We start from the raw sequence: 14,191 nt of genomic DNA on the forward strand, positions 1-14,191 counted from the left end.
CTGCTAAATATTGGTATTCCATAGTATAGCAATATCCCACTTAACCCATCTGCTCTTGTATTGATGTATAACTTGGCTGGAGTGTTTCAGACTTCCAATGACATCCTAGTACATGCTTCCTTAGACACATAACTGGTCTCTAGCCTAAATGCCAAGAAATAGAATTACCAGAGAGAAGACTGTTCACATATCACATTAAAAATATATATATATTTTTGAGATGGAGTTTTGCTCTTGTTGCCCAGGCTGGAGTGCAATGGCACGATCTCGGGTCACGGCAACCTCCACCTCCCAGGTTCAAGTGACTCTCCTGCCTCAGCCTCCTGAGTAGCTGGGATCACAGGCACAAGCCACCATGCCTGGCTAATTTTTTGTATTTTTAGTAGAGACGGGGTTTCACCATATTGGCCAGGCTGGTCTCGAACTCCTGACCTCAGATGATCCACCGGCCCCGGCCTCCCAAAGTGCTGAGATTACAGGCATGAGCCACCCCGCCTGGCCTACATATCACATTTTAATAGCTACTCTAAAATGGGCAGGACCTTTAACAGGTAGCAGAGTGATGTGATGATGTGGGGCGTGGATTCCTGTACCTGCTCCCTAGGCTCAAACCTCAGCTGTGCCACTCAGTAGCTGATCATCTCTCTGCCTCAGTCACTTCTTCTATAAAACTAAGATAATAGCAGTATCTATTCATTTGACCATTATGGAATTTGAGTCAGTCTATGTAATGCTCTTCTGAATAGTATATAAAGTAAGCACTATGTAAGTGTTAGCCGCTGCCAGTGGCTTTGGGTTTAACATTGGCAAGATGAAAAAATAATGTATTTCTCTCAAATTGTTGTAGAACAAAGGCTATAGGAGCGTTATTTGAATATTTAAAACACTCAAGTGATGTCACGTTTTATTTTGACTAATCTGCATCCCCCTTTCCCCCTGCACCCCTGCAATCTGCATCCCCCTTCCCCTACCCTCAATAGTCAGCAAGTCGCATGGCTGCTGTCACCAAAAAGCTTGCTGTCAGCTGAAAGGATCAGGGAAGAGGTCACAGCTCACAAGCAGACCACAGGTAACCGGCTCTTGTGGAGCTGGCAGGAAAGCCAGCAGTCAGGGCGCCTACTCAGCGGGGACAGGAGGGATTAGTTCTGATTACCCAGCCTAATCCAATGGCAATTGTCTTCCTGAATTTGCCATCTCAGTTACTGTAGATTTGGACACCGCACCCTCTGTCACCTAATACCCAGTCCCGTGTTAGTTAGGGAACCTTATCCAAAGATGGTTTCTGTAAATTGCATGGGGAGGAAGAAGACCATGTCGGGAGAGACACTTAACACATTTCGGGTGCCTACTGTGTGTCAGCCCCAAGGCTGGGCACTTCACAGACAAGATCGTATTTCATCTTCACAGTGAACTTGTCTGGTGGGTGTTCTTTGCTATTTCCCAGCTAATGACTTGGAAGCTTCAGTCACTTCTAAAGGTTGGTGTAAGAAGCATAACTTCTCACAGCCTGCAAGTGGCAGAGCTGAAACATGAGTCCAGATTTGCTGGAGTGGAATATTCGTGAGGATGTGGAAAAGAACAAGAACCCTCATTCATTGCTGGTGAGAATGTAAAAGTGGTACAGACAGTTTGGAAAACACTTTAGCAGTTTCTTAATCCATTTCCCGTTTGCCCCGAGAATACTGTTGTCTCCAATCCTAATGTAATATTACATACGTTTCTGTTACATTAGAATTAGAGATAAATTGTGTTTAGGAATAACTCCAAAAACAGTTTTTATATTTTATTTTCACATTGAAAATCAGCCAAATTTGTTTCAGCCTCAAAGAGTGTGTTTATGTAAAATTGAGTACTGGCAGCAAGCTGCACTTTTTGTTTTTTTCTAAACGGGAAATGTGTTTCAAAGTTAAACATAAATTTACCAAATGACCCAGCAATTCCACTCCAAGTTATCTTCCCAAGAGAAATGAAAATGTATATTCACACAAAGACTCGCACACAACTGTTCTTAGCAGGGTTATTCATAATAGCCAAAAATTGGAAACAACCTAAATGTCTATTGGAAATAACCTAACGGTCCAACTAGTGAATGGGTAGACAAAATGTGGCATAGCAATACAATTGAATACCACTGAGCAATAACAAAGAACAAACTATGGATACGGTGGGGCGCGGTGGCTCACGCCTGTTATCCCAGCACTTTGGGAGGCTGAGGTGGGCAGATCGCCTGAGGTCAGGAGTTTGAGACCAGCCAGGCCAACATGGTGAAACCTGTCTCTACTAAAAACTACAAAAATTAGCCGGGCATGGTGTCGGGTGCATGAAATCTCAGCTACTTGGGAGGCCGAGGTAAGATAATTTCTTGAACCCGGGAGGTGGAGGTGGCAGAGAGCCGAGATCACGCCATTGCACTCCAGCTTGGACGACAGAGCGAAGCTCCTTCTCAAAACAAAAAAACAAACAAAACAAAACTATGGATACATGGTATGACATAGATGAACCTCAAAAACATTCTCAGTATGCTCAGTGAAAGAAGCCATACGCAAGAGACCATACAATAAATGGAATTATACAATATAATTATACAATATAATTCCATTTATATGAAGTGTCCAATAGAAATTATAAAGACAGAAAGTAGATCAGTGGTGGTTGGAGGTGAGGGCAGTGGGGAGAATGCTAATAATAAATGTGCCTGAAGGATCTTCTGGAGGTGATGGCAATCTTCTAAAACCAATCTATGGTGATGATTGCCCAACCTAGTACATTTGCTTTTTAAAAAAAATCATTGCATTTAGCAATTAGAAATGGTGAATTATATGATATACAAAATATGCCTTTATAAAGTTAATTTTAAAAATAGGAGCAAGGAGGCAAAAATTTAATGAGCCCCTACTAAATTCACTGCGGCGTTGCCTGTGATAGCAAAAGCTAAATGTCCATCAATAGGAATGTGGTTATTGTATATCTAAAGAATGGAATCTTTTTTTCTTGTTAACAACAATATACATTTAAAAAGAACGAGACAGGCCCGGCACGGTGGCTCCCGTGTGTAATCCCAGCACTTTGGGAGGCCGAGGTGGGTGGATCGCTTGAGCCCAGGAGTTCAAGATCCACCTGGGCAACATGCTGAAACCCCATCTCTACAAAAAATACAAAAATTAGCCGGGTGTGTCGCATGCCTGTAGTCCCAGTTACTCAGGAGGCTGAGGCAGGAGGATGGCTTGAGCCTGGGAGGTTGAAGCTGCAGTGAGCCGTGACTGCACCACTGCACTCCAGTATGGACAACAGAGCAAGGCCCTGTCTCAAAACAAAAAAAAAAAAATGAGACTCTGATAATGGAATAAAAAAAATGCACTGATATGGAATAATCTCCGGGATACATTAAATGAAATAAACAATGTATAAGAGTGCAGGGAATGTGATCACTTTCTTTTTTTTTTTTTTGAGGCGGAGTCTCGCTCTGTCACCCAGGCTGGAGTGCAGTGGCACTATCTCGGCTCACTGCAAGCTCCGCCTCCCAGGTTCACACCATTCTCCTGCCTCAGCCTCCCGAGCTCGAACTACAGGCGCCCGCCACAATGCCCGGCTAATTGTTTGTATTTTTAGTAGAGACAGGGTTTCACTGTGTTAGCCAGGATGGTCTCGATCTCCTGACATCGTGATCCGCCCGCCTCGGCCTCCCAAAGTGCTGGGATTACAGGCGTGAGCCACTGCACCAGGCCAATGTGATCACTTCTATGGGCAAAGAAGAAGGAGGAGGAGGAGGAGAAAAGAATCTTATATGCTTGTTTATACATATATTGACTAGAAATACACGAGAAAGCAGTAGCTTGGTTGCTCCTGGAAGGAGGCCTAAGTGTGGGGGGTGGAAAGAAGGCATGCCATTTGGAGACAGTGATAGTCTTTGTATATCTTTCTGGATACCTTGAATTTATGTATCTTACCTAATAAACAAGTAAAAGCTAACTTTTCAATATTAATAGTGAGCACCTCCATGTGCCCAACAGTGTGTTGGGTGCACAATTTGTCACACAGACGTGGTGAATACTGAGCTGGCAGCAGCTCCCTCTGGATTTGTTTTGAATTTATTTTAGGTGGAAGAGTCTTTCCACTGACTCTCCTCTCCCCTGCTGTTTAAAATGTATGGCAGTTTCCAATCTTTATGAGAGGGCTTAAAAAAAAAAAAAAAGCTCAAGGTTAAATAAAACCTGTGCGAGGCCGGGCATAGTGGCTCACTCCTGTAATCCCAGCATTTTGGGAGGCCGAGGCAGGCAGATCACCTGAGGTCAGGAGTTCGAGACCAGCCTGGCCAACATGGTGAAACCCCATCTCTACTAAAAATACAAAAATTAGCCGGGTGTGGTGGCACACACCTGTAATCCCAGCCACTTGGGAGGCTGAGGTAGGAGAATTGCTTGAGCCCGGGAGATGGAGGTTATAGTGAGCCGAGATCGCACCATTGCACTCCAGCCTGGCCAACACAGCAAGACTCTGTCTCAAAAAAATAATTAAATACATAAATAAATAAAACCTGTGTGAGAGTTTAGTACCTCCCCTGATTTTACAACTGAAAAATGCACCTGAAACACAGACAGGTTAGGTGACATTTCCAAGGTCACACAGCTTGTTAGTGACAGAGTCCAGGTTTCTTGACTCTGATTTTCCATGTACTGCATTGAAAGGATACATCCTCTTGCCTATCTTGGGGTAAAGACAGGGAAGAGAGGAGAACTTATGGTGCTATAAACATACAAAGTGTGACAGTGCTGTAATCGGACCCACTTCCTTGAGTTAACTGATTAAAATCACTTTGGTTTGAAGTTGAATGTCATGGGCCGACTGCTCTGTCCAGTCTAGGAATGTGTCGTCAATGTCATCACAAACATTTCACAGTAAAGAAAGCCCCTCTCTGGCTCGTTTTCCTCTTATCCTCCACATTTGCCCAGGCTCCTTATGTTCCCACCCTCACTCCCCTGTAATGAAAACTCCAAAGCCGCTCCAACTAATCCCTCTTGGGAGAATGTTTACTTTCAATGTGACCAAGAGGTGAAATGCTGTGGAATTTCTGGCATCAGACAATATAGGGGAGAACCTGGAAAATCTTAGGCTATCTTCTGTCTCACTCCCCGCCCCCCGACAGAAATAAGACCAACCCTGAGTGTAGTTAACTGAGCCCGAGTGTAGTTAACTGAGCTAGAACTTATTATGCTGAACTAACCACCTGTCAGCAAGTCCAGTCAGAAAAAAGCAGTGGTGTGAGGACAGGGAAGTTTCGCAGGAGAGTGGTAGTCTGATCTCTGCCACCTTCTACCCTCATCCTTCAACCCAGCCAGTCAGAGTGTCTTAGGGGAACACTTTTCATATAATGCCTCCACTTGCCTTATTTCCAGAAGATTTTTTTTTAATAGAGATGGGGTCCCACTATGTTGCCCAGGCTGTTCTCATACTCCTGGGCTCAAGCAATCCCCCCACCCACCTCAGACTCCCAATACAGAAGATTTTTAATGGTTCTTTATCTAATCTTGTTCTAGTAAATAAAGTGTGCCTTAGAGATAAGGAACATCACATCCAATAAAAAGGGCCGTAGGGTGCAGTACTGCAGCCAACGGTTCATTCCATTTCTTTTTATTTCTTTTGAGATAGGGTCTCCCTCTTTCACCCCGCTGGAGTGCATTGGTACAATCTCGGCTCACTGCAACCCCTGCCTCCTGGGCTCAAGCAATCCTCCCTCCTCAGCCTCCTGAGTAGCTGGAATTACAGGCATGCACCACCATGCCTAGCTAATTTTTGTATTTTTAGTAGAGACAGAGTTTTGCCATGTTGGCCAGGCTGGTCTCAAACTCCTGACCTCAAGTGATCCTCCCATCTCGGCCTCCCAAAATTCTGGGATTACAGGCGGCTCACGCCACCGTGCCTGGCTGGTTCATTCCATTTCTGAGGCAGGACTGTTCTGTGGAAGAACATTTTAACTTGTCTGGGCTGAACTTTAAAGCATGCCCATCCTAATTTTTTTTTAAATTTTTTCTGGCTTACCTTTAGCAGTAATATCCTAAATCTTTAAAGTATAAATGCTCCCCATGGCTAACTTTATAACTAAGGGAAGAAGTGGTAAGATTTCAGAGACCTTTCTCCAAAATATCTAAAATCTCCTAAAGTGGCCATTCGCTTGTCCTCCTAATCAAGCCTCTTCCATCACTCAGCAGCCTGGGGACTCGGCTGGCGATTCCTCACCCTTCCTGCTTTGTTGGCTCTGATTGGTCTAAACTGTGGTGCTCTTGGTCACTGATTGAGTCATTAACCAAAGTTTAAGCCAATCACATGTGGCACTCTCCAAAAAGTAGTTCAGGGGTGACCAAGTCAGTGCAAAGCTTAGGTTGTTCACTCCGTCATCCACAGAAAAAGGAAAGCATGTGAACCTCAGCGAAGGCCAATAGCTATCTTGAGACCGTGCTAAAGCTGGCCTGATAAAACCAAAACAGAGATGAGCAGAGCTTCCAGAAATGCAGGAAACAGCAGGGTCCTGACCAAAGTCCTGGACTCTTCCATGGTATGAGCAATAAATCCCTGTTACTGATTTAGGTAGTTTGAGTTGATTTCTTTCTTTTTTTTTTTTTTTTCTTTTTGAGACAGAGTTTCACTCTTGTTGCCCAGGCTGGAGTGCAATGGCACGATTTCGGGTCACTGCAACCTCTGCCTCCCGGGTTCAAGCGATTCTCCTGCCTCAGCCTCTCAAGTGGCTGGGATTACAGGCGTGTGCCAGCATGCCCAGCTAATTTTGTATTTTCAGTAGAGGCAGGGTTTCACCATGTTGGCCAAGCTGGTCTCAAAGTCCCGACCTCAAGTGATCCACCCACCTTGGCCTCCCAAAATGCTGGAATTAACAGGCATGAGCCACCAAGCCCAGCCAAGTTGATTTCTTTGTTGCTTCTAGAAGGCATACCCTCTCCTCATTGGCCCACAGTGCCTGAAATTCCTATCATTTGGCTCTCCATTCCAGATCTCTATGTTGGACATCAAGTTACAATCAAGTTACCGACAGAAGTAATGGATTGAAGATTAAATGATTTAATCAAAACCATCTAACTCTTGACAATTCTTTCATCATCAAGAAGGCGGGGGAGGAGAAGTGTGAAAAGCGTAGCCCAACCACACTAATTTCTGATTTCCATATTCATTCTTTCTCTTTCTGCCCTCCATGTTTTTAGTTTGCTTTTCTGGATTTCCTTTACATAGAAGGACCACTTTCCATCTCAATCTGTTCAGAAACCCCGCCAGGTTTTCAAACCCCTAGCTCAAATGCTGGTTTCTCTTTGAAGGCTTCCCTGATACCCTCAGCTGAAAAAAAAAAAAAGCCCCCTAAAAACTAGAGACCATTAGCCTCAGCATATTGTCCCCACACTCAGTGTCACCCCCAGCAGCTAGACTGTAAACTGCTTGCCTGCAGGGCACCTGATGGGTTAACCTTTTATGTTTACAGCACTGGCACACTGTATCTGTGTCTCTGGCACCCCCTGAGAAGTAAGGAAAGTTTGGTGGTTGAAAAGAATAAGCACAAATAGGTTTTCTTCAGGAACTGCAGGCCGAAGAAATGGCTACAGCAGTGGTTCTCAGAGTGGCCCCTGGGCCACGCCATCAGCATCACCTGGGAACAAGGAAGAAATGCAAATTCTTGGAAACTTCAGAATCAGAAACTCTGGGGATGGAGCCCAGGAACCTTTATTTTAACAAGCTCTTTAGATTCTGTTGCACTTGAAAGTTTAAGAACCGCTGGACTCAGGAAGGTCTTAAACTAGGGGTTGAGGAGCAAATGAGCGTGTTTAAGAGCAGGGGCCTGGTTATCTAAGAGCAGGATTGAAAATCAAGTGAAAATCAAGGTGGGCTGTGCAGCCAGGACATGAGGATTGCAGTGGAAGGGCTGGCCCTTGAGAGGGAGGGTGCAGTGTAACCAGAACTGAACTCTCGGAATTGAGCTTCTCTTCAACTTGCTGCCTGTCTCTTCGAGCTGATGTCTGAAGTCTCCTGATCAGTTTTGTCTATTTGGCCCATGCCAGGTGGGTGTGCATAGGCGGAAATCCCAATAAGGGCTTGAAACATGTTTAAATGTTTTATTTGATGTAGGTCAGGTGTTTATTCTTTCGTTTTCGCCAACCCTAAGATGACGTGATTACGTTCTCCCAAGTTGCTTTACATGTTTGCATTTTCAGTTTTTCTTTTTGGCAGCATTCAACCCAGAGTAACGTATCCTGGGTTCCTTGTGAACCTGTCTGTAACCGAAGCGAAGAATGTATCGAGGTACTCCAATGGGCCTGGGAAAGAGCTGTGGGGTATCTCAGTAAAAACAAGGGGCAACAAGAAAGATGTCTGATAAAGTTCTTGGGAGCTAGCCCACAAGCCCGCTTGTGAATCTCGTCTGCTCCCTCCCATCCCTGCCTGGCCTTTCTCCCTATTCATTGTGTACTTTTATCACTGACCCCGCGCAATTCTAGCCCACGGTGCGATCCCTATCCTGGAAACTACACTTCTTCTGAGTTGGCCCAAAGCTACTGCCCCTGCTCTGCTCCTCCAAAGGCTAGTCCACTTCAAAGAGTTTTCACCTCCACTCCCGCCCCCACCTCTCTCAATGCAAGACTCGACTATAATCTTTGAGGAAAGGCTGGGCGTGTGCCTTCATTTTCATAGTTTTCATCATGATCACAGGCCTTTCATTACTATGGATTCCCAAACACTCATATTTAAATATGGTAATGATATGTATTAAAAAGCATTCCCAGAGGATGTTGATAAATCTCTACTTCTGCTTTTAGATAATAAGCATCAATTATCCATCAACTATTTTTAGTAAAAAAAAATTTTTTCTTATTTATCATAGATACATTCTAAAATATCTTTTTTTAATTTTCAAACACATTGTTTCCAAGTACAGAATTTTTCTCAAAGAATCTAATTGTGTTATGTTGTATTGCACTGATGCAGATAATGTATAGTTTCTATTACTTTATATAGTTTATTTTATGGTAGTATTCTAAAGTTTTAGCAAAAAAAAAAAAGACAGAAGCTTTTAATTAAGGTGAAAAACTAACTTTCATTGAGAAACTATGATTCGACACATACTTTAGGTATATTTATTCATCTAATCCCCCATCAATCCTGTTAAAGTGAATACTGTTAAGATTTTACAGATGAGTAAACTGGGGTTCAAACAGGTTGAAAAGTTATGCTAAAATTAGGAGTCGATTCCAAATCTGACTCCAAAGCCTTTCTCAGGACCTCCCCTGCTTCTCCCACCTCCATCCAGAGTAAGATACTAACTCAACTGCATCGCATCACAGGGGCTGATACCTACACACAAGTGTTCAGGAGGCTGTTAAAAACTCATGAAACTGGAGGAGAAAAAAACTTTGTAGGTAATGACAATAGGAACTCTGCCCTACCTAAAAGCTTCCCAAAATTATGATTAAATGTTTGGTAAAAACATCAAAAAGACAATGTAGGCCAGGCGCGGTGGCTCACGCCTGTAATCCCAAGACTTTGGGAGGCCGAGGCGGGTGGATCACCTGAGGTCAGGAGTTCAAGACCAGCCTGGCCAACATGGTGAAACCCCATCTCAACTAAAAATACAAAAAAAATTAGCTGGGCATGGTGGCAGGCACCCGTAATGCCACCTACTTTGGGAGGCTGAGGCAGGAGAATCGCTTGAACCCAGGGGGCGGAGGTTGCAGTGAGCTGAGACTGAGACATTGTACTCCAGCCTGGGCAACAAGAGCAAAACTCTATCTAAAAACAAAAAACAAACAAACAAAACAAAACAAAAAAAGGACAATGTATATTTGGGAGCTAAAGTTCATTTAGTTTGTTTTAAGTCCTGATTTCCAAGATCTGAACATGGTTATTGGCCATCCATGCTTTTTAATACAGGATTTGTGAAGTTGTTGATTCGGAAGGTAACCCACAACATCCTTGGTTTCAATTCAGAAGCCACACAGCAAAAAACCCCTTCAATTTGTCCTTAGTTGATATAGAGTTATAAAACATATCACATATCTCTGGAATGACCATTCCTGGTTAATTAATCTTTAGAAATAAAGGCTACCTTTACTTAAGGAAAAGGTTGTGGAAAGAAAATAATTAGAGCAGAAGCAGCTCTAAATGCCGTTCTTGCTTTTATCTATTTTTAAATGATTGCCAAATGTCTGTAACTGACACCCTTAATCAAGGCTTTTAAAGTTTAGATGTGTTCATTAAATTGTAATGTGACAGTGGTGGCATTTAATTGATGGATTTTTTTTTGGCTGACTTTTTGCCTTAAATTTTTTTTTAAATCTATTTAACAACTCGATAAATGTTTACATCAGCCATTTTGAAAAGCCTGATAGCTTTTCAGCAAATTGCATTACCTGTTGTCAGACAATATACTCCTGTGTCTACCCAGATAGGAGAGATTTTCAATCATTCAGTTAATTCACAGTAAAAGGAATAACTCTTGACTAAAATACTCAAATATTTCAGACAAAAGTCTCTGGGGCCTGAGTTACCTGGATAGTTGACTTTTTATGTTGCTTTGCAAAACTTTACATATCACTCGTTTGAGTCATTCTGTATATTTTTTCTAACTGTTAAGATAGACATGATGTGAAAGAAACTGTTTTCATTCATTATTGTCAAGCCAAAATAAGCAAATTTAAAAATAGCAATAATTTTCAAAAAGGGTCAAAATGGACTTAAATTACAAGACCATGAGAGTTTGCCCACTTTAAAACCTTATATGCCCAAATATCCCATATAATCCCTATTGGTTTCATCTCATTCTATTTCATCAGGAAACCATCTGCTTTGTTCTTTGTTGCAGAAAATGTAAACAACTATATATTGAAAGCACAGCCATTCCTTATGTAAAAACCAAAGTCTACATACTTACTTTTCAGTACTCTTTGTCCAAGAAATGTTGTAGGAGGGCTGGCTCAGCTGTGGATTCCCCAGGCTGTGTGTGAGGCATTGATTGGGTGTCCCTGTTCCCGGGACAGGGATTCAAAGGAGTTTATAGGGCTCAGGGTCTTCCATGATCAGGTCAAAGCATAGATGGGTCTGCTTCCAGAAAGTTCATCTCTTCCTAAGAGGGGAAATTCCATGCCCGGGGAAGTTCTGGAAGAAGAGCATTTTTTCCCCGCCCTTCAGTGAACTAGGTCATTGCTGAAGCTGGAGAATATATTTTAGCATCCCTGTGATGAAACTTGAGGGCTGTTTCTGCAGTAGGTGCGACACTTGTTGACACGACACGCTGGGGAGGCCCTGGCAAGGGGGCCTGGTGAAATGCAGCCCCAGGGAGCTGATGAAACCCAGACGAGCTGTCACTGGCTGCTGCTCAGGAGACCGAGCAGCTCTTTACAAAGCCCATGCTGGACCCTGGGCTTAGTTGCTCGCTCCTTAGGAAAGGAAAAACTTGCTGCCTGATAAAGGGATTAAGGCCGGAGTAACACAACCAGTTCTCATACCAAGGTTATCAGGCATTTGAAGTACACATAGGAAACCCGTGGAGGGGGTGTTGGGGAGGTGAAAATATGTGTCATATGTTGTTCATTTAGAACAGGCATTATAGCCATCCTCTGAAGTTCTCTGAGAAAGGCAGAAGCCACAGAAGGAAGGCAGGATCCACCCTCCTCACCCTGCTTACCCCCCCTTACCCCTTGTCTGTCTGTCTGTCTCTCTCTCTCTCTCTCTCACACACACACACACACACACACACACACACACCCCTTCCTATTTTGACTACGATAGAAGAGAACAGACAAAGATCAGAAGAAATCCACAGAAGAAATACCACAGGTCCTATTCCTTCAGATTGCCTGGAATGGTTCTTGTTGGGAAAGTAGATTTTGTAATATGGGCAATTCTTTTATTGAAGTTTATCCAAGTCCAAAAACATAGAGAATCCTTTAGCATCATTCTGTAACTACTTAGCCTCTCCCCAAAAATATTTTAATGTATGACACCTGGAAATTGACAGCTTAGACAGAAACCTCTTTTGAGACTCGTGGAGACAGCTCAAATTAGCAGCTCCAGGGGTGACTTTGAAAGGGACATAGCTGTAAATATTCACTCTGTGTAGGGCACTGCAATCCTCAAAAGCAAATTGTTTTTACACAGCACAGAATGTACATCATTATCCCTTGATGGAATGCAACTTTTCACAAGATGAAAACTCATCTAAAACGATAAAATATTAAGAAATGTAGGGGTGATATGTTCTGTTTTTCAGTTTTATCTTCATGTGAGAAAAAAGATATTAAAGCTGAGGCACTGTAAAATAATGACTATCTCCTGGGGAACACATCTGTGAAATGCCACAGAACACAGAAATTACCAACTCTTTGCAAATGGTCGGCTTTATGGAAAGCTGAGGTCTTCACAATGTAAGGTCTTTTCCAGATAAGAAAGAGGAGATAACTTCAAGTTGGGAATGAAGAGAGGAGGAAAGTGTGATGATAAAGAATAAACAAATGCTGTCGCACACCACAGAGAGAATAAAGTCAAAAGTGAAGGAATGTCCCAAAGCAATAGATAAATGTGATATGGTTGTGAAAGAAGTGTTGCCTGGGAGTTATTAAATGGAAAAGTTGAAATTCACTATGAAACTTAATTTTGTTCCTCTGAAATAATTTGAAAAACCAATTCCCTCAACTCCCAACATTCATCTCCTAGCAAAATAAATGTAAAGAGCAGAAGGTTTATATATGTGCATATATAGATACACACACACACACACACACACACATACACACATATACATGCATGCATACACACATACATGCATATATATACACACACGTACATACATACATATAATGGATTTAACTGTATTTGTTTTATTCATCTCATGAATTTACAGCCACAGAATTTATGTTTTAATCTTAGGTGTCGGGGAGGAAGCATGAAAGAAAATCAGAAACAGAAATCTTGGAATTAAACTCAAATTAGGCCTGTAATCCCTGCACTTTGGGAGGCCGAGGCAGGTGGATCACTTGAGGTCCGGAGTTCAAGATCAGCCTGGCCAACATGGTGAAACCCCCCGTCTCTACTAAAATATAAAAAATAGCTGGGTGTCATGGCTCACGCCTGTAATCCCAGCTACTCAGGAGGTTGAGGCAGGAGAATTGTGTGAACCCAGGAGGTGGAGGTTGCAGTGAGCCAATATCACTCCACTGTACTCCAGCCTGAGGGACAGAGCAAGACTCCATCTCAAAAAAAAAAAAAAAACCTCAAATTAGACCAGGACACTAGTTCTGAATTTTCTGTGAATATCAAAGGAGGGATGGAAGAAGTAAGACGTTGAAGAGAAAAAGAAAGGCATGTATCTGTGCCCTGCTAATAGCATCAAAAAATACATGACTCTCTTTATCACATCTACTGCAAGATTGAAGACCATTCTTCGCAATCAGACTCTTGACATTCCCAAAGATGTCAACATCACTCCGAAGGGACACAGTTATTGTGAAGGGCCCCAGAGGAACCCTGTGGAGGGACTTCACTTACATCAGTGGAGAATTCAGTCTCCTTAGAAAGGAAAAGAAGAGGCTCCAGGTTGACAAAGTGTGGGGAAATAGAAAGGACCTGGATACCATTGGCACTATTTGTAGTCACAAACAGAACATGATCCAGGGTGCTGCACGGGGCTTCTGTTGTAAGACGAGAGCTGTGCATGCGCACTTCCCCATCAACATTGTTAGCCAGGAGTCTTTTGTTGAAATCTGAAATTTCTTGGGTGAAAAATAAATCTGCAGGGTTTGGATGAGGCCAGGTGTTGCTCATTCAGTATCTCAAGCCCAGAAAGACGAGTTAGTTCTTGAAGGAAATGATATTGAACTTGTTTCAAATTCAGCTGCTTTAATTCAGCAAGCCACAACAGTTAAAAACAAGGATATTGGCAAAGAGCAGGGGCTCATGCCTGTAATCCCAGCACTTTGGGAGGCTGAGACGGGTGAATCCTTTGAGCTCAAGAGTTTAAGACCAACCTGGGCAATATGGTGAAACCCCATCTACAAAAAAAATACAAAAATTAGCCAGGTGTGGTGGCGTGTGCCTGTAGCCCCAGCTACTTGAGAGGCTGAGGTGGGAGGATGGCTTGAACCCAGGAAGCTGAGGCTGCAGTGAGCCGTATTCATGCCCACTGCACTCCAGCCTGGGTGACAGAGTG

At 43.0% G+C, this 14,191-nt stretch overlaps 1 protein-coding gene and 1 pseudogene across 1 annotated transcript in view, besides 1 other annotated feature; one reads left to right on the forward strand and one right to left on the reverse strand.

The window, feature by feature from the left end:
* ALPK2 (alpha kinase 2) overlaps nt 1–11,246 on the reverse strand; it is a 147,845-nt gene extending 136,599 nt beyond the window's left edge. Inside the window, exon 1 of the mRNA NM_052947.4 lies at nt 10,919–11,246. The gene's annotated coding sequence lies outside the window, so the exon portion shown is untranslated. The remainder of the gene's footprint in view (nt 1–10,918) is intronic.
* Nucleotides 11,263–11,805: an enhancer, noted in NCBI's record as "H3K27ac-H3K4me1 hESC enhancer chr18:56296340-56296882 (GRCh37/hg19 assembly coordinates)". NCBI's record gives its function as "activates a minimal SCP1, AML or CMV promoter by ChIP-STARR-seq in naive H9 embryonic stem cells {active_cell/tissue: H9 hESC(naive)}" and the evidence as "EXISTENCE:reporter gene assay evidence [ECO:0000049][PMID:30033119]".
* Nucleotides 13,387–13,970, forward strand: RPL9P31 (ribosomal protein L9 pseudogene 31; annotated as a pseudogene).

This window comes from Homo sapiens, chromosome 18, assembly GCF_000001405.40.
Source record: "Homo sapiens chromosome 18, GRCh38.p14 Primary Assembly".
Lineage (NCBI taxonomy): Eukaryota > Metazoa > Chordata > Mammalia > Primates > Hominidae > Homo > Homo sapiens.